The sequence below is a fragment of the Homo sapiens genome, chromosome 10, assembly GCF_000001405.40.
Source record: "Homo sapiens chromosome 10, GRCh38.p14 Primary Assembly".
NCBI lineage: Eukaryota > Metazoa > Chordata > Mammalia > Primates > Hominidae > Homo > Homo sapiens.
Genome location: NC_000010.11, coordinates 5428913 through 5452678, shown reverse-complemented (window position 1 = coordinate 5452678; position 23766 = coordinate 5428913). Strand labels below are relative to the sequence as shown.

General features: G+C 36.6%; 1 protein-coding gene across 3 annotated transcripts in view, besides 2 other annotated features; it reads right to left on the bottom strand.

Moving 5' to 3' along the window:
* NET1 (neuroepithelial cell transforming 1) overlaps positions 1–23766 on the bottom strand; it is a 46500-nt gene that overhangs the window by 6378 nt on the left and 16356 nt on the right. Inside the window, 3 exon segments of one of the 3 annotated variants that reach the window (NR_073040.1) lie at positions 154–321; positions 742–849; positions 5821–6128. Coding sequence is in view for 2 of the 3 variants with exons in the window: in NM_005863.5 (NP_005854.2) it covers positions 154–321; positions 742–849; positions 5821–5913 (369 nt within the window). In the remaining variant the exon portion in view is untranslated. 3 annotated transcript variants of the gene reach the window in all.
* Positions 6032–6261: a silencer, noted in NCBI's record as "silent region_2080". NCBI's record gives its function as "represses an Ori minimal core promoter by ATAC-STARR-seq in GM12878 lymphoblastoid cells {active_cell/tissue: GM12878}" and the evidence as "EXISTENCE:reporter gene assay evidence [ECO:0000049][PMID:35858748]".
* Positions 10256–10425: an enhancer, noted in NCBI's record as "experimental_13225 CRE fragment used in MPRA reporter constructs". NCBI's record gives its function as "activates a minimal promoter by MPRAs in K562 erythroleukemia cells, with activity observed for both the introgressed and non-introgressed 10:5484302 variant alleles {active_cell/tissue: K562}" and the evidence as "EXISTENCE:reporter gene assay evidence [ECO:0000049][PMID:34662402]".

Genomic DNA, 23766 nt, shown 5'->3' with positions numbered 1-23766 from the left:
TTAGAGTTGTTTAATTTGACCACCATCCATCATTAGGTTTTGTTCACCATGTATTAGGAATTGTTGCTCAAACACAAAAATCCAAGTTAATTTTGCCATCGGCATCAATTTGCTGTTCTTTTGGGAAAACATGTACACTGAGTGCCAGCATACCTCCTGCCGTCTGATCTCCCTGGTGGTGAGAGACTCCTTCATGGTGATGTCCAGCATCTCTGACCACAGTGCACTGCTCCTTCTCTTGGCGGGTGTTGGGACTGTTGACCTGCTAGAAAACTTCTGGGCAGAGGCTGGGGATCTGTGGTCACCACGAAGGGTAAATGACTTAAAAAAGAAAAGGTGAACAAAAGAGAAAATAAGATTTGGAAGAAATAGAATTATTCCCATTTTCTTTTTTTTTAAAGTGAAGAAAGACAAAGTTCTGAGAATTTCTCAATGCAGAAAACAATAATTTATCCAAGTTTCCACCTACCAATCTTAAATATTTATCAGCTAAAATTACATTTTTGGGAATAAAAACTAGCCAAGACTATGCATTATAAGATGCAAATTAATATAAGATGCAAATTAATATAATGAGGCTACACATTGTTCTGGAACAATATTCCTTACTAGCATATTCCAAAAAGAAAACTATGTTTAAATATAATAATGCAAACTTGTTTGTACAGCTCAAAGACAACTACAAATTCCAGGCTTCTATAAAGTCCGCTGACTACATTACTCTTCCTCCTCTCTTTTTACCTGTATTGTTTGACCAAAACGTCTGACAGCTCCATTTCTTACAGGAGAGATTAAATTTGCCAAGGACGTGACACGAGCCAGAGGTCGAACTCTTTTATTGCTTGGCTCCTATAAAAACAAACCAGATGACACTAAATATATGTCTAGGTGCAATGATTTCATACAAACTTGGACAAAGTAAAGCCCTCTCACAAAACAATTTTTGTACATTATAAAATACAGAAACATGAAAGTAAGAGTTGTTCTTCATTGTCAAAACAATAAGAACTCTATTGAGTAGCAGTAACTTTTCAAAAAATAAGTGTGTAAGAAAGGCCAGTCAAATATTTCCAATAGGGGAAAAAATTAAAATTCAAACAAGGAAATTACATCCTAAAATCTAATGAACTTTTCAGTTTAATGCAGGGAATAACTTTTTTTTTTTTTAAAAAAAAGCCTTATTGTTATGAAAATTTTCGAACATACATGAAAGTGGAGAATGGCATAATGGATCCCATGTGTCTATCGAGGGGCCTCCACAGTGTCTGGTATAACAATTTGTTTCATTTTTGTCCCTACTTAAATGTTTTAAAGCAAATCTCAGACATTGTATCATTTCATTCTTAACTACTTCCGTTAGAAAATACAACCTTTCAATCAACATGTCTGACACTGGAATGGGCTGAAAAATATTGAAGCCAAGGCAGGGAGGAGTTAAAAGAGCACCCAGGCTCTGAAATCTGACTGGGCACAAATCCCGGCTCTACCACTTGCTAGGGCACACCCTTGGCATCAGTTTTCTCATCTATAAAATGGGGCTAAAAGTAGCACTTCTCTTATGAAGTTGTTGTGAAGATTAAATGAATAATATGGCTTGAAACAGTGCCTGGCACATACTCAGTTTGAGCTATTACTAACAGATTTTAGGAATATTTCCATTTACTACATAAACACTGGGATTCATAGATAAATTAGATCCTCTCTCAAACAGTAATTTATTAACTTAAAGGAAAGATATATACAAATCGAGAAGAAATAGTTATGATTCTACATGTTATTGCTTTTAAATAATAATATAGCAAACACATCACTTATTCAAGGATTTTGAAACTTTACAAAAATTGCATTATTCTAATTTTATCGCTAGAAAAATGGAGGCATACCAGTAGGTGACTCACACAGTTACTGAAATGAAGAATGCCAGATCATAAAACTAGCAGGTCTATTCTTTATGTCTATGGAGCATAACTATTTGTATTTTGTGCTTCTGACAATTGTGGCATACTTGACAAAATAATTTTGATGAGAATCCAGGAGGATATATAATTTAAAATTATATTAAAATTATCACTGAAAAATAAGACATCATTTAAAAATAACAGAAGAAGCAACTTTTTCTAAAAATTCTTTGACATGACTAAAGTAATATAAAAAGGAAGGGGTGTAGAAAATGAGTAAAAATAATGCCTTTAAACAACTGAAGACTATATTGACCATTTTTGGTTTGGGTAAAAAAAAATTTTTTTTAATTAATTATTTAAGAATAAACTGATAGGAAAAGTTAACATTATTTGGAAAGAAATGTAAATAATTTGAATATCCAAAGAAACAATTAGACTCATTAAAGCTCCTAAATGTATACATATGTATCAGAAAGGAATGTGAACTATTAAGGAAACTTGGTAGATAATGAAAGAATTTGGAAATCTGAAGGCTTTAAGAGGCAGAGTTGTAGATCAACCCCTCATACCAAATAATCAACTCCAAAGTAAAACTTTGAATATAAACTAACTGCAAAAGAAACCTTCGCGATATGTAATAAGATGGCACACGCTGTGCTTCTGAGGACATGTGTGGATGCCTCCCCCACGTACATCTGTGCTGACTGACTGACACACGCGTGTGCAGGGGCCAGCACAGGCATTCCTTTCCATTTAGTAAAGACAGCACAAAGAGTCTCCTGTTGGACTGAAGATAGAATTACCTCACAGAGTAAGAAATGCCGACATTTCACTGGAACAAAGCAGTTGTCAGAAAGTTCTGTTCCGCTTTTTGGGAACAGAGGTTAACTCCTCTTCCTTGTTTCATGCATAACAAATTTGACTTCCCAGAAAATATAATATTTAATTTCAACTTAAAAGGTCTTTGGAAAGGTGCTTTTCCCAGTGAATATGAAAGGAAAATTTTGTTAGCAGGAAATAAATTTTTGATATCTATTTTATCACATAAAATCAAATTAATGATAAAAATTTATTATCTTTATAGGACCAGTTACTGTACAACTACTAACTTCCTGGTAACTCAAAATTATGTGATATTTTAAAACTACAGAATTTAGATTTAGATAAGTGAATGTAAATATATCTAAAGCATACTTCTGAAACGAACACGGGTTTTGTTGATGTGGTCTCTTTAGGGTGGCAGCATATTATGCCAAGTGGTATTTGGTGGTTAAATATGTTCCACAGTCCTTTAAAAATCCAACTATAATCCCACTTCTCCACAAAGGAAATGCTGCTTTTCAGAGTTTATCAAATCTAGGATGTCTTGGGAAGTATGATGCTTACTCAGGAAATACAGGTTGGGAGAGGGAGAGAAAGGAGGAGGGCACTTTGCACTTTTTCACATGCTTTTGGGGATGATGGTGGATAACTTTCCTGCCTCACTCAAAGGACATACATGAAGAATGTTTGGCAAATACAAAACAAACTTTTAGTATATATATTTTAAAAGTATGAACAATTTTAATGACTAAAATAACGAAAAGTGTGATTATGAAATGTAAAGGTATAATGCTGCTACTAATTTCAGGATACATATACTATTTGAAAACAGACTCATACATGAAACTTCTGTGGAAAAGTGACATGGTTTAGGCATTCACAGGCCACCTAAAAGATTGGGACAAAAATTTGTGTCTTTCGGAATACACGTCAGAAATTGGCCCATGTGAGCCGAAACCAAAAGTAGTTTTCTTTAGAGGTCCACATGAACTATCTTAATAATCTTGATTTGACTATTAAGAACCTAAATATTTGCAGTCACAAAACAGATTCCTAATACAATATTTAGATAGGCCAGACACAGCATTTGGAGGTGATGAAGGGGGAGTGGAACAGGCGCTTTCTATCTCACCACCACCAAATGGAAGGCACCCATAGTTCCACTGCTAGGATTGTTTATTTTTTACTTTGGAGTCCTGGAAACACGTTATGGCAAATTCAAGAAGCTTAAAGAACAGATACGAATACTGGAACCTTACTCTCCTCAAAAAAAAAAAAAAAAATCCAAAAATCCATGGGAATAAACAAAAAAATGCCAACAAGCTTTACATGCTCAATGAATTTTCTGCTGCAGGGAACCTTTCACCAGGGCTAAAGTTCACTTGGAGGGAAAAAAAGTCCAACACTCTCTAACATAAGTTTATGTTGTCAATTTAGGTTAATTTTTAATCAGACTAGGTTAGCCAGGCAGTCACATACATTATTATAGGCAATCTGTCCACAGATCAGGGTATTAATTAATGTTAGTAATCCACTTGTAGTTAGATTTTATGCCTTAAAAATTTCTCGACATCTATAAACAGAAAATTGTTGAGAATAAGTTAAAGTATTTTTCAGGTTATGCCTTACAGCTAACTGCAACGACATGGAAAAATCCTGTTGAGAAGTCAGCATTCTGTAGAAAGGCTTTTTCTTCTAATGATGCCAGTTAGAGAACATATTTTAGGAGGGTCTCTTCTATAACCAATCATATCAAGACACTGAATAAAAAAAATAGTATGCACCTGGGTCTATTCCTTTGGGTTATAATAGTTAAATAATCTTCTCTTAAAATCTTTAGCAAAACTTTAAAATCAAAAGAAAATAAAAGTTATTTTTAAAAAGATAAAAACGAGTTATGATCACATGGGATGAATTCCTTTTCTAGAAATACTCAAATTATTTAGAGCTGTGTCACTAGATCTAAAACCGTGACAACATTCCTAGTGCTTGTAACTTAGAAATAAAGGTAAGGCAGAAACACAGCCCATGCTGATACTAAACAAAGGCCAGCTTCTATGGGCCCAACAGATGATAAGCTGCAGGATTCACACTAGTGACTGTGGATGACTGCTCTACTCAAAGGAAATACTTACACATTTTGAGAAAACCGACACATAGGCAAAGACCAAAACCAAGAACAAAAACCAAAGCCAAACCACACCAAATAAAAGTGTACTTCCTGAAGACGGCAGCTATTTTAACTACCAAAAGGTGTGTGTATGTGTACACATGACAAGCAACTTTGCTGGGGTATTCAGTAAGCTTTACATATTTAAAATGCACAATTAGATAAGTTTTGACGTGTGTATAGAGACGGAAACCACTACCACAATCAAGAGATACACAGTTAACTGAATGCAGGAACACTATTCCTAGCATATAAGTGACAATGTAGTATATATTAAAGTATATAGTATAAACAGAATATCACACAATGTTAAATCAAGATTACATAAAATGGCATAAAGTAATTTGATTTATATTGATAAATGTTCATAAAGACTAAAAAAAGACTCAGACAAAGCAAGGAGGGTAAAAATAATGAGTCACTGGTTTAAATATTCTAACATGCCTCTTTCCTTCTGAAGAAAAAAGTGGCATACAATGAACTCATCAGATGGAAGAAAAATGCACACCAGGTCAGACTAAACTTTAGTTGCAATTTGTTCACTAGCATTGATTTACAAGAACGGGATTCTTTTCCTCTTGCTCCATTAAGGTAGTTTCTAAGACTGGATGATATCAATTCAAGTTAAAAAAACAATTATATTAAGCATCAGAAATGTGACAAACGTAACCCGAGTAACATATACATTTAAAATCTTTTCCTTTTTTATAAAAGCTGTGTACACTCAAGCTATGCTATGTATAAACTATTTAAACTTAGACCACAGTCCCTAAACACATTTCAAGCTTGCACATAAATCAAGAACATACATTGTAATAATAAGATCAAAAGTTTAAAATTATACTGTTAATACCTTGTTAAAAATTTTAAAAGCTCCGTGGAGTTAGAAAACATTCCTTTTGCCTAACGTTTCTCTTAAAGTCTTACCTCTTGTTCTCTGAAGGACTGGTTATTGACATCTAGGACTCGTATGGTCCTTTTAATAGGTAGGAGACCTCCAGTCTCATCATGTGCCACCATGCTTCCCAAGTACTCCCTCAAACCTTTCCAATCAATCCACACCGAGTCAGCGCTGTAGCGACGCTATGCAGAGGCACACGGGCTTTTCTTCCCAGAGCTCGGCCACCCTCGGCAGCCACGTGCCCATGCCTCTCGCCGCGGTGGAGCAGAGGCTTCTGAGAGCCGCAGGCAGCAAGCACCGACCCCAGGGCTCGGGGGCGGGGCCACAGCCAACCGGGCCCTGGGGGCGGGGTCCACCACCACGTGACTTCAGTTAACTGAGAGCTGGGCACACCTAGGCCTCTCAGCTTTCGCCCAGGAGGAGAGTGAAGCTGGGTTCAAGTAGGACAGAAACTTCTCTTCCTGATTTAAAATGCATTCCCGAAGTAAAACAAATTGTTACGTTATCTACTCTGGTGCTTAGTCACAGACAGGCAGACTTTTCCCATAAAACCCTATTGCATGGGAATAAGTTCAGTATGGACAACTTGACAACTCAAATAAGGAAATAGAAATTCTTATTCGATAGGGCTGAATCAACATATATAATGAAGAAAAGCCTAATTTTCCAGGAAACCTGCTTTTATTTTACAGAAGTGCAAGCATATTCACAATTATAAAATAGATTATCTAAGTCTTTAAATAGTTCCCACTTTTTCTTAAGACTAGCAGGGTAAATACAGCAGGTGCACTTCTGTTACCTCTCTTCCAGAAGAAAATCTCCCATGAGGTTACGGGTAAACTGGGCTACTTCAGATTTCAAAATTCAGTATTTCTTAGAGGTAGATATTTTTTCTGGATCTTTTTAAAAACTTGATTATCTGTGTACTAGATATTTTATAACAAAGGTGATTTCTGTTCTCTATATTGTATACATAGTATGTAATTGTGTATATATTATATATAAGTGTATAATATAACAGGGTCCTTCTCTAGACTGAATTAACTGATCTTGATATAGCTCGAACAGGGTCAAAAGACTGCTTAAAAAGTCTTGCATTTTACAGGTGAAGAAATGAGGCTAACAGAGGTGAAGTGACAATAATGACAGTGACCAGTGACAGTCTCCAAATTTCTAGCCTAAGTCTTTTCCTCTATGGAACAACACTACTTTTGTTGGCTTGGCAGGCCTGCTGTGAAGCAGATTTCCTTTTAAACACAAAATTCGTTATTCTATTTGGAATGGTAAAATTTTACACTATAAACTACTATAATATGATGGTAGTATGTTGGAAAAATATTTCTAGTCTGAGGATTTATAGAATCAGATAAATCTATTATATAAAAGTCACTATTCTAGATACTTGGGTAATAAAAAAAAATAGGCTTCATATCTGCTAAAGAGACCATTGTGTAAAGGTAGGCCACATGAAGAGATAACAGAAGATAGCTTTTGCAAATTCAAAACTAAGGTGTGTAGCTAATAAGTGCTACAGGAGTTCTGGAAGAGAAACCACTTCAGGTAGTTTTCTAAGCTAAGACACGGCTGGGAACAATGCCAGGAAGAGGTTTAAGATGTTATGTCTGTGCGGCCTTGAATGTAATATTTTTCATAGATTTGAACAAGAGAAAATTTCAAGGAGGACAAGGGAGTGAGCCCACACTGAGATCACGGGCTGTGCGTAAAGATGGAACAGATGGATGTACTCAATAGGTGAGAGAGATAATGAGAGCTATGTTGTAATAAGATATATGTGACTGGTGTTTAAGATGGTTGAAAGATGACTGAAAACATCATGCAAAAATCACAGTCGGGCAACAAGAACTTTGCCTAAAGTAGGACCAGTAGGGAAGAAGGAAAAGGATATAAGCAAGAAGTCACAGACGCCTACAATTCTTTAAATAGGAGGGGTAACTGTTAGTGCAAATCAAGAAATAAGAAGGAACAAGCTTTGAAAGAAAATTCTAAGTTACATTTTAGATATACTGAGTGTGAGGCGGTGGAAGAACATGCAAATGAAAATATTCTGCTGGTAGTTGGAAATGTTGGACAAAAACCTGAAAGAGGCTGGAGGCTAGATTTAGACTGGAGAGTCAGATACAGAGATAAAAATCGAAGCTATGGGAGTGAATGAGATGACTGGGAGAGAAAATTTGGACAAAAAGAACATGGTCCAAGGATCTAACTTTGGAGGAAAGCCAAGGGAAGGAAAATTCTGCAAAAGGAATAGTTAGAAGGAAAGAAACAAAGCAAAAGCCAAGGGAAGAAAAAAATGTTAATTACAGCAAAGAGGTTAAGGAGGGTATGAAAAAAGCCACGGATTTAGTGATTACAAGTTTAATGAGGATCTCAAGTGTGCTATTTCAGTGGAGTAAAGACAGAGGCAAATTACAGGGGCTGAAGAGTGAATACAGAAGAATAGTGGGTGCAGACTATTTATAAAGACAAATAATCTATAAAAAGTAATTGCCTAAGGTTTGCAGGAGAGTTGCTACTTCTTGCAGGAAGGACCACCACTGCCCTTCTGTAGCTATGTGTGTTTTATACACGAGATGTGGTAATAATTCATCTTTCTGCTTTGAGTTTATTTTTTAAAGTAATGGAGATTGGCTCTGTTTCATCATCTACTCTATTGTCCAGTCTGTCCTGGGCAGTATGTGTGATGTGGTTGGCCTTAAGAGTGGATGACTGTAGAAGATATTTCCATATAGCATGAAAGTAGAAGCACCTGAGCGATTGTGGACTCCTAATTTTACTCTTAATTTTAAGAACAGTGATCTACCTACATTCTCAGAGCTAATATGAACAGCCTAGGCTAGACCCCAGCAGTCTGGTTCAGTTAGCTTCATCAGTTAAAATATGGCGTAAGTAAGGCCAATACTTTACGGCCACATAGTTTCTAAGGGAATAAAGGATTATGTGCAGTGGGAGTTAGGAAAGAAGCAGCTAGGAGTTCTCCTGGGATTCTTACCCGATGTCTTTCTTGAAACTGTTTTTCCACTTAGTTCCAACAGAAATGAGCCAAGATAATGAGAAGGGGTATCTTTCATTCTCTCCTTCAGCTGGGGACCCAAGAGGTAAAGGTAGAAGTCTTTATATGTAAATACAGAAATAGAAAACAAATAGGGTATACTGATGACAGCCATGTTCACAAAAGCCCCAGCTCACCAACACTAAAATCTTAGTTTCATTTTGAATGTGCAGGTTTGGGGTCTAAATGTAGACAGCATCTAAAAAAGGAATGATGAACATGCGGAAGTTCAACTGGACTCAAGAATCTTGAGTCTTGTCACAATGCTGCATAAAACCAGAGGACTAAACAGGCCCTCTGAGATCATTCACCCATCCTCTTCAGTTTTCTCATAAGGAAACTTAATGGGTGGTGGTGAAAAATAGAAGAAAAATTTAAGGTCTTACTTTGTGCTAGAGTTCTATATGTTATTTAATCAACTCTATGAAGTACTTATTATCTCAATTACTTTGTGCTAGAGCTTTATACATGTTATCTTAATCAACTCTATGAAGTACTTATTATCTCAATTTTAGAGAAGGAGGAAACTAGGACTGACCAAGTTTAAGAAACTTGTCCAAAGGTACCTTGTTAATCAGTGGCTTAACAGACCTGATGACTCTGTTCTGCTCAGCTGTTGTGACACTGTCCAGATGAAGATAACCCATATAAAACCTTTAGCACATGTTCTGAGACACACTAGGTGCTCAGTATATGTTAGTGACCTAAGTTAACAGTAGACCTAAGTTTAAAACCAAAGTCTCCTGAGTCCCAGGCTAGCAGTATTCACTAAATTGCCAATACTTTTATAGAGGAGGAAACCATAAAAACGGTTGAGAGATTAGCTGCCTTATAGCCTTTTTATAACAAGACATGGGGTAGGTAAAAAGATAATAAAATAGTTCCAGTTGTGTAAGTTTAGAAGAGTTTTTTTCTTTCTTTCTTTTTTTTTTTTTTTAAAGACAGGGTCTTGCTCTGTTGTCCAGGCTGGAGTGCCATGGCACAATCTCAGCTCACTGCAACCTCTGCCTCCTGGATTCAAGTGATTCTCATGCCTCAGCCTCCCGAGTGTGCCATCACGCCTGGCTAATTTTTGTAATGTTAGTAGAGATGGGGTTTTACCATGTTGGCCAGGCTGGTCTCGAATTCCTGGTCTCAAGTGATCTGCCTGCCTTGGCCTCCCAAAGTGCTGGAATTACAGGTATGAGCCACCCTGCCTGGCCAACAGCAACTATTTGTATAACTTTCTACAAACGGCGTAACTGAGGCACAGATTGGTTAGCGTCTTTTCTTTCTATAGAACATCTAGAATTTATAAACGTAACTGAGTTATGTAAAGGTAAAGAGAAAGATGTTTCTCTTATGTATAGAAAAGGAGTGTTAGGTTACTTGTTCTCCCCTTTCAAGTGAAAAACTGCTTGGAATTTAGAAATAAATTAGAGCTTAGGAATAATCATTACTTTTTTTGGTCTAGGCATTATTATCTACTTTTACCTGGAACAATAACAAGCAATTGGAAATTAGACTAGGGAAGCCATACTACAGGCAAAGAGAAAACAAAATCTAAGCTCTCTGCTGCCCTCTACACGAGATATTGTGAAATGCAATTGTCAACCTGTTTTTCAACTTTGTAATTATATTTGTAACGACATTACATAGATGACTACATAAACAATCTCTTAATTTGTGGAAAAATATGACCAGTAAAATCTGTATTTTCAGTCTTTGTACAGCCTTCATGTCTTATATTACTAAATTAAACATATATTTTAAAATGATACAAGTATATGAAAAAGATTCCACAATTCACAAGAAATATTTTAAGAACTTTTTCTAAATATAAGAAAACTACATTCCATTTTAAAACTCTAGAATTCAAGATTACAAGCATATACTCTGTATCTCACTAAAAATAGGTTAGTTAAAAATAAAATTTTAAATCTTACTAAAAAGGAAGTATTAATTGAAAAGTGGAACTTTTGAAAAACCATAGTTCCAAAATATCTAGTAATAACTTAAAAACAAAAAGAGTTACATTTGAACTGGATAAGTACGAAAGAAATTAGTAATGAAGTTATATGTGATTTGAATCTCCAAGTTTAGTACTAAGAATTTGGTTTGGGGAAAAAACATCAGTTTAGACCAATTAAGTATTATTAGACACACTTTAAATAAAATAGTCTCATAGGCTAATAAGTTTGGTATTGTCAAAACAATGGTTCTTTTGTGCGATGACAACACAAATAGCCAATCAAATGGGGTATCAGCACTGTTAGTGGTGACTTTTTATCTCAGGTAACGAATAACTTCCAGTATAACGTAAGACCACTTAGTCTTCTGTAACAAGCTGTTGAATGGGATTCCTCCCATTTTTCCCTGAACTTCAGCTTAAGGCCCCAAACTAAAGACAAAAGGATATTGTGTCTTGTGCCCAGCCTCCTGTTTTCTCAGCCCAATTTGACATTGCCATAGCAACTGGCTCCCCACAGGAGTGACCCCACAGTCCCTTGCCTCAGCTGCACTGTGTATCTCTTGCCTTCCACCCTGGGCTTCTTGGATGCTGCTGTGTGGCACATGCACATGTGTAGCCACGGGTGTGTGGGATGGACACCCGAAAGGCCACTTGTTGACTAACGGAGCACAGAAGCTGCAGGATAAAAGCTCCCCTCTTCAGTCCGTTGAGAGGAGAAGTCTGTGGTGTGTTTTACACAGCTCTTCAGAGGGTTCCAGAGAGATCTACCCCACTGCCCACAGTAGTGACAGCTTAATTAGACACTGCACGGGCCTCCTCTCTTTCACTTCTCCAGCTTGTTCCCTGGGATCATACCTCAAGAAAGACACCTGTCAATGAGTCCTCGTTTTAGGCTCTGATTTCTGGAGGGAGAACCCAGGCTAAAATATGGACACTGAGATTGGTCCTAGAGATCAGAAACACAGGATGGGACTCTGAAACAGACTCACTCACTAGTAAAATGGTGATAAGGACTACAGGTATGAATAGGGATGAGACACAGAGTAGTGAGGCAATGCCTTACATAGTAGTGGTGGCAAATGAACAAGAGAGGGGCAGTGGTAATTGTAATGATTGTAGTGTTTACTGGCTTTGGCTAATTGCTTTAAAAGATTTGAAAAAGCAGCTGACAGAACTTTCATAATGTTCTCAGCACCATGGTGGGAATAGCTAAGTGGGAGTCCCTGAAATTTCACCCCTTACACCTGGGCCAAGATGGTAAGTCAGAAGCAGTATTGCACACCAGGAGAAAATGCAGAGATCAGCCATCAGAGTTACGGACTGCACAAGTGATAGTCTCCACTAGATCCTCATTCTGTTTATCTGAGTGCCTCTTACAATAATGAGGTGGACTGTGGTAAATGACAGTGGACCACTGTAAACTTAAGTGGTAGTTCCAACCTCAACTGTTGTGCAAGATGTAGAGTCTACTGGAGCAGACCAACAAATCATCTAGCATTTGTTACATGGTTATGGTTGTGGTTACTGATCTGGCCTATGTGTTCTTTTCAATCCTCATTAGTAAGAAGGGTCAAAAGTAGTTTGCTTTTAGGTGGGAAGGACAGCAGCCTGTGATTGCTCACGTCCTGAAGCTGTTCACTTTGTTTTCTGTCACAAAGTCGGCAAGGACCGGATATTTCACAGAACATCATACAGGCCCACTGTATTAATAACATTATACCAAAAAGACCTGGTGAATAGGAAGTGGAAAGTATTTTGGATATCCCAGTAAATCAAACGCATGCCACAAAAATTCAGAGGTTGCCATGTTGGAAAAGTTTTAATAGATCCAACGGCCTGAGGCTTTCTGGGATCTCCCCGCTACAGGAAAGGACAGGTGTTGCACCTTGCATCTTCTAGGCACAGTGCTAGCAGGACTCTTCATCTTTTGGAGGCAGTATCTGCTATATTTGGGAATGTTGCTGTGATAGTTTTGAGTAGGTCCCAGAGCAACAGAGGTCTCTGTAGCAGGTCCTCCAGGCTGTGGTGCAAACTGCCCTGCTGTTCAGGCCATGTGACCTGGTATATCACATCAAGGTTGGGTATTTATGGTAGACAAAGATGCTGTGTGATGCTCTGGCAAGGCCAGGAAGAGAACTGCAATGCAGAGCCTTAGGGTTCCAGAGCAAAGCTCTGCTTTCCACAGCAGAAAATGACTCCGGTTTGAAAAGCAGCCCCAGGTGTGGGGCAGACCTAGTTAGAGTGAGGCCCTGGCTACAGGACATCATTTAACTGTGCGATCAGAGGTGCCCAAAACAAACAGGGTCACATCAACTGAGTCAGAAGGTTGGGAGGTACAGCAGCCATCTGTTATACAAAGGAAATGGTCCATTTGTGATTGGCTTAAGGAAGACCAAAGGGCATCAGTATATAACATGAACAGATGGCCCAGACTGCCATGTAACCTAGTACATTACACTGGTACTTCTCTTTCAACTCTTCATCTAGGGGTGGAGTAGGTCTCTAAAACCACTAAGAGAAAAATTTGGCCCTCATTCACACATGAATTAGCTTCATATGTTGGTATGAGCAGAAAATGGACCACTATTGCACTGCATCCCATTCAGGGGTAATCCTAAAGAGAGCGGCAAAGGAGAACACTCCAGTGTCAGTAATGCACTTGGTTGTTCACTCTGTGTGAAGGGAGAAATGGCATGACATACAGATATACACAGGCTCCTGAGCAGTGGCAAATGGGTTGGCTGATTGGTCAGGAGCTTGGAAGGAACCAAGATTGAAAAGGTAGAAATCAATTTTGGAGAAGAGGCATATGGATGGGCCTATGAGAATGGCCACAAAGTGGAAGGAGCCTTGTCTCTCATGTTAATGCTTACTGAAGACTCTAAGGTGCTAGTGATTTACGTTGTGGATTCCAGTGCTGGTGCAATAGACCCATGAGCACAGGAGCCATGATGGCAGGCATGAAGGTTCAGTGTGCTCCAGCAGCAGGGGCGCTCTTTTACCAAGGCTGGTTTAGTCACTGCCACTGGTGAATGCCTAACCTGCCAGCAGCTGAGAAATGGTGTTGGTCTATAGTTTTCTTTTCTTGTAGTGTTGGCTTTAGTTATCAGGATAATACTGATCTCTTAGAATGGCTTAGAAAGTATTCTATTTTCTTTGATTTTCTGAAAGAGTATGAGAAGGATTAATGTTAATTCTTTTCTAAATGTTTGGTAGAATTTACCAGTAAAGCCATCTTATTCAGAGCTTTTCTTTGTTGAGAGGTTTTTGATTACAGAGTCAATCTTTTTACTAGTTATAGGTTTAGTCAGATTTTCTCTCCATGATTCAGTCTTGGTAGATTGTGTGTTTCTAGGAATTTGTCCATTTCATCTAGATTATCCATTTGTTGGCATACAATTATTCACAGTACTTTTATTAATATTACCCTTTTTATTTCTGTACAATATGGTAGTAATAGCCCCACTTTCATTTCTCATTTTACTAATTTGAGTCTTCTCTCTTTTTTTCTTAGTCTACCTAAAGGTTTGTTAATTTTGTTAATCTTTCCAAAGAACCAAATTTTGGTTTTACTCTATTGTTTTTTGATTCTATATTTTATTTATCTCCACCGTTCTTAATGAATTTCCTTCCATTTGCCAGCTTTGGGTTAAGACTGCTTTTCTTTTTATTACCTCCTTAAGGAATAAAGTTGGGGTACTGATTTGAGATATTTCTTACTTTCTAATGTAAAGTGTTTACACCTGTAAGTTTCTCTCTCAGCAATGCTTTTGTTGCATTCCATAAGTTTTAGCATGTTGTGTTTTCATTTCCATTTGAAGGTATTTTCTAATTTCCTTTGTGATTTGTTTTGACTCATTGATTGTTTAATAATGTGTTGTTTAATTTCCACATACTTATAAATTTTTTAGATTTCCTTTTGTTACTGCTTTTTAGTTTCACTCTCTGTGTTAAAAAAATTAGTCTGTATGATTTCAGTCTTTATAAATGTATTAAGACTTGTTTTGCAGCCTGACATACCGTCTATCCTGGAATGTTCTACATGCACTTGAGAAAAATGTATAATCTACTGTTGTTGGGTGAAGGGCTCTGTATGTCTGTTAGGTCCATTTGGTCTGAGTGCTGTTTAAGTCTTCTACTTCCTTATTGATTTCCTGTCAGGTTATCTATCCCAATAGTTGGTTAAAAAAAAAAATACTAGGGAAAATACAGAGTTGAAAAGGGTACTCGGTTATGAATATTATCATAAACCGATAGAAAAGTATCAATTTGGCAAACATTTTGGAAGGCAAATAGACAATATTAACAAAACTAAAACTTGCAACCCACTTCTAAACATCTATAATAGAGACACAAACATGGTCCCTCCTTGTGCACCAGAAGGTAAAGTACAGCACTGTTTTTAATATGAAAAAAATTAGAAATATACAAAAATAGCCATTCTTAAAAGACTGGTTAAATAGATTATGGTACTTTAACACACTATGGAATACAATACAGCAACCAAGAAGAATTAGGGAGCCTGCTTTATATGTACCAATAAAACATAAATTAAAAAAAGCAAGCTATAGCATATATACAGGATAATCATATATCTGTAGTCATTACACATACTGTATGAAAATAGATAAATAAAAAGAAAACAATCTGGACAAACATCAAATAATAACTGGATACTTCAGAGGCTGAAGGCAGTAAAAGAGGTCTTTAAAAAAACGGTTTCAATTTTTTGCCAGAACAATGTATTCATGTATTAAAAAGGAGACATAAGTATTTAAATACATTGCAGTCTAGGAATGATTAAGCTTAAAGATAAGTAGCTCTGTATTGCTCAATGGCTTCTCAGAGCACTAATCAGCAATAATTGTTTTGTATTTAACTTTTATTTTTGGCCAAGAACACCATTTTCTTATATCAACACCTGAACCAGCAGTTGGCTTTCTTTTTTGGACCTCTGTCACAGCAAAACAATGTTTTATTATCTTATAAGGCAACCAGTAGAAATCATAGCTAAATCAAAGTGCAGGTGGAGGGCAACAGTAAGCTAGGTAAGTCACTAGGTTTCACATGCCAGCTAGCTTCACACTATTCAAATCTGTGCTTTGCAACATGATCAAATTACCTGTCATGGTTCTAAGAGGTTGTTTCTCAAAAGTGGTATTTGGAATGTTAAATCAGAAACTGCCAAGACATTATTATAATTATAAACAATCACAATGCTTTTAAAATTATTTATCATTTATATGTTATTTATTAGGACTAAAACACTTATTATTATGTTTAATCTAAAAATGGCAGAGTATACCAATACTCAAAATATAACCCCCAGGCTGGGCGCAGTGGCTCGCACCTGTTATCTCAGCACTTTGGGAGGCCGAGGCAGGTGGATCACGTGAGGTCAGGAGTTCGATACCACTCTGACCACCAGAGTGAAACCCTGTCTACTAAAAACACAAAATTAACCCGGCTACTTGGGAGGCTGAGGCAGGAAAATCACTTGAACCTGGGAGGCAGAGGCTGCAGTGAGCAGTGAACCGAGATTGAGCCATTGCACTCCAGCCTGGGCAACAAGAGCAAAACTCCACATTAAAAAAAAAAAAAAAAAAAAAAAAAAATATATATATATATATATATATATGCACACACACACACACACACACACACACACACACACACAACACACACACACACACACACACACCTCCTTTTAACTTCTAGGAAAACGGAAAACTGAGATCCTAAATTTGAAGTTTCAGAAAAAGAACATACTTTAAAACATTTCTTTAGAAGTGTTCTAGTTTGTGTTATAATCACTAACTATCAGAGTTAAAGAAATTAAGTCACAAAAATATGCTCAGTATACTCATGCCAGTGTTATTTCACATTAACAAAGTCAACAGTCACTTTTGACTCTTCCTATCAAAATAAAAAGGAAAGATTGTAGTTGCTAACATACACAGCTGAGAAACACATTTGGAAAACTAATACTGTGTTCTTTTAAAAATGAATAATTGTATATATAATACAGAAGTAAGTCAGCCTAGTAAGACAAGGCTGAAATTTTACCTAGAGAAAAATTTGATAAACAATCACAGCTTCAAGACAAAATAGCTAATGATCCATAACATGAAAATTCAATTGACATCAGAATTAAATTCTTCATATAAGATATCCAAAGTCCAAATACGTAATACAATGATCATGTTATATGCTTATGTAAGTCCAAGGTCTTATGTCATTCATTTGACCTGTATTATTAATATTTCATTCATTAATTCAATATTTACGGAGTATCTATTTTATCTATCTATCTATCTATCTGTCTGTCTGTCTATCTATCTATCTATCTATCTATCTATCTATCTATCTATCTATCTATCTATCTATCTCAGGCACGGAGGCATATAAAGTAGAATGGCTCCTAGCAACAGGCATCAAATAATTGTACTAACAGATTATGTTTAGCTTATTACATAAAAACTGTTGTATTTAGATGTAAGTCCAAGCAAAAATCAGGGGGAGGGAGGAATAACTTTAAGAATGTCACATTCTAGTTTTTAACTCTAGCTATACATGAGAATCACCTGGTATCTTTAAAAAATAAAAAGAAAAATCAAATGTTCCTAGGTCCCAATGTCACTTATCCTCATTTCCTCCCCTATTCCTCCATTCATATATGGAATTGGTCTGGAATAGGTCCCGTAGCACACTTCTCCTGCTACACAAGCCACCCTCAGGTGACTCTGATCTGCAGCCAGGGTTGAGTATCTCTGTTTTAGCCAATCATTATTTTCAAAGTATAAATACAGCTTAATGCTACTGGGATCATCAGAACTTCAAGCCTTTTGTTTGATTCACTATTTGTACTGAGCAGGCTTTTCTATAGCTCTGAAAAAGTAAAAGTTAACTCTGTAGAAAACTCACAGCAATGCAAATAAATTTTGTAGGTAGAGATGCAGATGAGGATATTAATATTTTATATATAATTTGGTAATCTCAGTCCACCATTCTTTCCTTCAGTGACTAGTGTATGTCAGTGTTTCCTAGTCCTTTGATCAGCTTTTCTATAATGTTGGTTAACTCATTAATAAGTTAATTCTTTGACAGGTCTTTACTTTTAAAGAAAAAAAAAAACAGAGCAACTAGCATAACCAAAAAAAAAAAAAAAGAAAACCCACAAATAAAATCCACAACAAAGAGAAAGATTCCCCTTAAACCTCAAAATATGAGCAGAGTGACAAACCAGACAGTTATGAGGCCCACAAAGTATCAGCATTTGTGTATGATGAGGCAGAGGGAAGGCACGGGGTTTTTCTGATGGCCCTGGGAACAGGAGAATCCCTTCAACCTCCCCTGAAGCCTCAATGGCATACTAGTCTCAGAATAGCAGCCTCATCTGGGAAAGGCTCTGAAGGATCTTGTTCTCAGGCTGAGAACAAGAACAATGCCATGCAAATAGGTGTTAGAGCAGTCTGGGCCATGTAAACTCTTGAAACTGATACTTCTTTTAGAAAAACTCCTAGGAGTAGACTCCAGACTGAGAAGAACAGGGCAACAGAAGCAAAGACAAGAAAAGTTCCAGATAAAAGAGAAAGGGAGCAGAAAAGATCTCAGAAAGGATGAAACCATACTTTGAAAAATCACCTTGTGAACACAACACAAGAGGGAGCTCTAGAGTTATGAAGCTGAAAAGGCTATCCTGGCCTATTCCTCTCACCATACAGGAAACTTACTGCACTGAAAAATGAGCGACAGAAGTATTAAGAATTCCACTTAAAACTATTATAAGGAAACACAGACTGGAGTAGAATCATGTCTCTACAGCGTGAAGTAAATTAAGAAAATTACAGAAGCTCTGAAGAAACATAAGACTCAGAAATTAGGTGACTGGAGAAGGAATTGAAATGAGAGGTGATAGAACTAAGAATTAAAAATAAAAAAAATTATTTCAGAATGAAAAGTACAATGCTTAATGCATTAGGGAAAAAAGGAGGATGGCTTTAAAAATAAAAAGATAAAAAGTTTTGAGAAAAAGTAATAAATAGAAAAGATTTTAAAAGATGAAGATCCAAGATAATATAAAGGGTACAGAGGGGAAACAAAATACAATAAATACCAAAAGGTATAATTCAAGAAAAAAAAAGTTCCTAAAACAAAAGATGACCTGAAACTACACATTTATTATGACTTTGAAAAGACATAGTTTATGCCAGAACACAATGGAGTAAAATATTAAATATACTCAATGAAAGAAAAGGTGAGCCATGGGTTTCATATCCGTCCAAATGAACCTTCAAGTATAAAGGTTGCAAACAAACTGAAAAGAACATGCAACATGCAAGTACTTGGGGAATACCATGAACACTGCCTGAGAATCTACTCAACTCCAGGGCAGGGGTCAGCAAACTTTTTCTGTGAAGGGCCAGAGAGTCAATACTTTTGGCTTTACAGGTCCTATGGTTCCTGTCACAACTGCTCAGCCCAGATACTGCAGTGTTTACGAAGGCAGCTATAAACAAAACATAGAGAGATCAGTCACATATGGCTTGTGGGTCATGGTTGCTGACCCCTGTACTAGAGAATGAGCTTCAGAAACCAAAACAAACAAACAAAAAAACTAGAAAGGACTCAACATGAGGACTGGTGCTGAGAATTAAATATATATTTACCAGTAGAACTAAGACTACCTGATGGTTATCAGGGTCTACAGTATAGCTCGTAATGGCTAAAAGCTCTGACAAACTATTTTTAAAAATGGGAGGAAAGTGGTGAATGTACATGAAAAGTAAAATAAGCTCACTTACTGCCTTAAATGCATTAACTACAAGTCAAGCAATAGTATTTCAAATCAGAAGAGAAAGAGGGTAGGGAGAAGTGCTAGTTAACTAAATGCTCATAGGAATTAACCCATTTATAGTAGCCCAAAAGGTATTACATAAGGTATCAGTATAAAGAACCATTAGAACAAAAACACAAACCTACCTAAATATCAAAAGATATACCAAAGCAAAGAGCAAACATACAAACAAAACATTAAGAAAGACAGTAGGCTACATACAGTTCATCCAAGAAAGTGGAATACTATATATATATAGTTGCTTATATATTTTAAAAGTGGAAGGATAAACCATAAAATTAAAAAAAAAAAAGATTTCATCTGAAAGAGTGAGTAGGGTAGAAGAGTCAGGAATATGAACAAGAATCCTCTGTAGAATGACTTCAAAATTCTACATAATTCTGTCACACAATTATAAGATAAATTTAAAAAGCAGTAATTCTTAAACAATAAAATTTTTTTTAAAAACCAAATGAGCTGTTGGTGTAATTACACACAGAAGTGAGTGTAATAATTTAAAAACACAGTAATTTGACTGTACATCCCTACTATGTTATAACCTATAGGTTTAAACAAAGCTGAAAAATGCAAGAAAACATAAAACGTTTTCAGTAATCAATAATAATGCAAGCTGTTGTCTTTGAACTGTAGTATAAATCAAATGCATAATTAAATCAATGTCTCTGGACTTTTGGTGAAGTTGAAGGAACTCTACATAGTAAGACTGATAAGATTAAGTTAAATCCCTTTATCTTTGAATCTGAAATTTCAATATAAATTCATATTTTGTTTTGTTTTTCTAAAATTATATTTATCTCCTAGCTCTATTCATTAAAAAGTCCTATCAACAATGACCAATCCAGTAGAAGGGAGTATTCCCAATGCCCAGATTTTAGCCTCTACCATTTCCCAAAGCAACCAGACTCCTTTTAGAAATGACTGATTCCAGGCATAGAGCAAAAAAATAGGACCTGCAATAATTTGTCATCCTAGAAGACAAGGAGGCTATTAAGCCACTAGATGTGAGATAAAGGTCATGTCAAAAGGACACAGGAACCATCCTGAAACAGCATCCAACAGCCAAAGACAGATATGTGAGGCATCAGTAAGAATAACTGAAATGAGGCCAGGCGTGGTGGCTCATGCCTGTAATCCCAGCACTTTGGGAGGCCGAGGTAGGAGCACTGCTTGAGACTAGGAATTTGAGGCCTTCCTGGCCAACATAGTGAGACCCTGTCTTTTCTACAAAACAAAATTTAAAAAAAACTGAATCCATGTAAAACAAGTATTTATATGCATGAGTTCATAATACTAAGGAGAAAAAAAAATCATTACTTACTTTCAGAGAATGCTAATGAATAGAATTCGTTATTGTTGAAAACTGACAAAGGAAAAGAATCAAGCACTTGTTCTGCTTTTATTATAAATCAGAACTTCAGAGTAATCAAATGGCCGACAAGGTGAATTTTCTCTTTACAGATGTATTCCAGTTAATAAACAGAGGTCTGATAAAGACATGTCATCACTTTGCAACCACCAAGAAAAAAATGCATGTAGGCAATGAGCATCCATTTTGAGAGCATCACAGAAAGGCATTACATACTTTTTGAGGTAAGTACATGGCCCAAAAAACCCACACTGGATCAGCTCTCTAGATCTAATTACCAACTTGTCAGAAATACAGGGAATAGAGGAACATAGTCAATGATACCATGGGGATGCAATCATAAATATTCAGGCTATAAAAAGATCTATAGGAAAATCCTGCATGACATGTTTCTTCAACAACAAAAAATTCCAAGAAAATAGTTAGAGGGGAAACCAATGAACTAAAAGAGACTTAAGAGATATAGTTAAGGCCGGGCGCGGTGGCTCACGCCTGTAATCCCAGCACTTTGGGAGGCCGAGGCAGGCGGATCACGAGGTCAGGAGATCGAGACCATCCTGGCTAACACGGTGAAACCCCGTCTCTACTGAAAATACAAAAAATTAGCCGGGCGTGGTGGCGGGCACCTGTAATCCCAGCTACTTGGGAGGCTGAGGCAGGAGAATGGTGTGAACCCGGGAGGCGGAGCTTGCAGTGAGCAGAGATCGCGCCACTGCACTCCAGCCTGGGCAAAAGAGCGAGACTCTGTCTCAAAAAAAAAAAAAAGAGATATAGTTAATCATAATGTATGTGTCTTATTTGGACTACAAACAGGCAAAATGAACCCCAAACCAAAAAAAACCTAAACAAACAAAAAACCCCACAAAAACACACAAACAAGATCAAGAAAATGCATGAATTCTGAACTGAATCTGATATTAAGGAATTATTTGTACTGTTTTGTAGAAAGTGTATTTTATTATGTTTTTAAAAAGTTCTTATCTAAGGTCCGGCATGGTGACTCACACCTGTAATCCCAGCACTTTGTGGGGCCGAGTCTGGAATTCAAGACCAGCCTGGACAACATGGCAAAACCCTGTCTCTACTAAAAATACAAAAATTAGCCGGGCATGGTGGCACACACCTGTAATCTCAGCTACTCAGGAGGCTGAGGCAAGAGAATCTCTTGAACCCAGGAGGCGGAGGTTGCAGGGGGCCGAGATCGCACCACTGCACTCCAGCCTGGGAGACAGAGCGAGACTCCGCCTCAAAAAAAAAAAAAAAAGTTTTTATCTAAGACAATAAAGATAGTAAATGGAATATTTACAGATGAAAGGACATGACATCTAGGATTTACTTCAAAATAATTCATATATTGATAACTGCTAAAGCTTAGTTGAAGACCACGTATTTTACTGTGGCAAACTACAAATACTATTTCTGTATTTGATTTGATTTGAAACATACCTAAAAATAATCAAGGTTGTCATTTCATACTTTTTTCTTTTTTTGAATACAAGATATTTTAAATGCAACTAAAACTGTTTTGCAAAATGCTTACAACTTAAAACACATAATTCTTCTATGAAGACACTGTGTACTAAAAATAAGAAAAAAATTGACTTGCTGGATTTGTTAAAATGTTGATGAGCAGATTATAAAAATTTAATTTTTAGAAAATATCTTGTCTTTAAAAAGAAACAGCAGCTGCTGCTGTTAAACATAATATGAAACATTTTTAAAAATCACATTTAAAAATGTACAACTCTTTTATAACCTTAAAAAAAGACTCTCCAAAACCAAGATGCTACAGTAAAATTTACTAACTGGCAAAAATGATGTTAGTAATTCCAAAGATACTAGGTTTTTGGACTTAAGTACAATTTCATATAAGAAAACTTCAAGTATTTTAAAGTGTGTGCTGAGTGTTAGTTTATTCTATGTCACATACTTGAAGCCTTGAAGCCCATGGGCCACATATGACTTACAGATAAGTTATTTTGCTTGCATGTATTTTTTAAGAAAAACTGACTCAACATTTAAAATTCAGGAGATTTCACATAAAAATCCAGGTTTTGACAGTCCTACATGTGACAGTGGGCTAGAACCTGGGGCTCTCCTTTTCACCACCGGCCCTCTCTTACCTCGTTCCTTCGCACAGATTACAGCCTGTCTCCTTAGCATTTGTGTTTGTGATCAGTAGTTATAGCCTAACATTTTGAGAGTGGTTTCTCCCTCATTCTTAACAAAGAAGTAGAATAGCAAAAAAGACGGTGTCTATGAACTAATATTATTCACTTTTGCACTTACAAAATGCAAAAAACAAAAAAACAAAAAAACCCAAACCAGCATTTGTTATTCTTGCAGCACAGAAATAAAATGCTATCTGCATATTTTTAAATGCTTTTCTTTAACAGGGCAGCAGGGCTTACCTTCAGATCAAGGCTGCTAAGGCTTACAACATCATCATCTTTCTCTCTGCGTTTTCTTTTCTAAAAGAAAAATAGAGATTTCATTCTCATATAAAAGGAATGCATATTACCTCACAAAACAAAGACTCTATAAAACTAGAAAAATCAATTTAAAAAAGTTAAGCCTTTGGCTATAGTCACAAGAAAATTACTTTGAGGCCAGGCGCGGTGGCTCACGTCTGTAATTTCAGCACTTTAGGAGGCTGAGGAGGGCGGATCGTCTGAGGTCAGGAGTTCGAGACCAGCCTGGCCAACGTGGCGAAACCCTGTCTCTACTA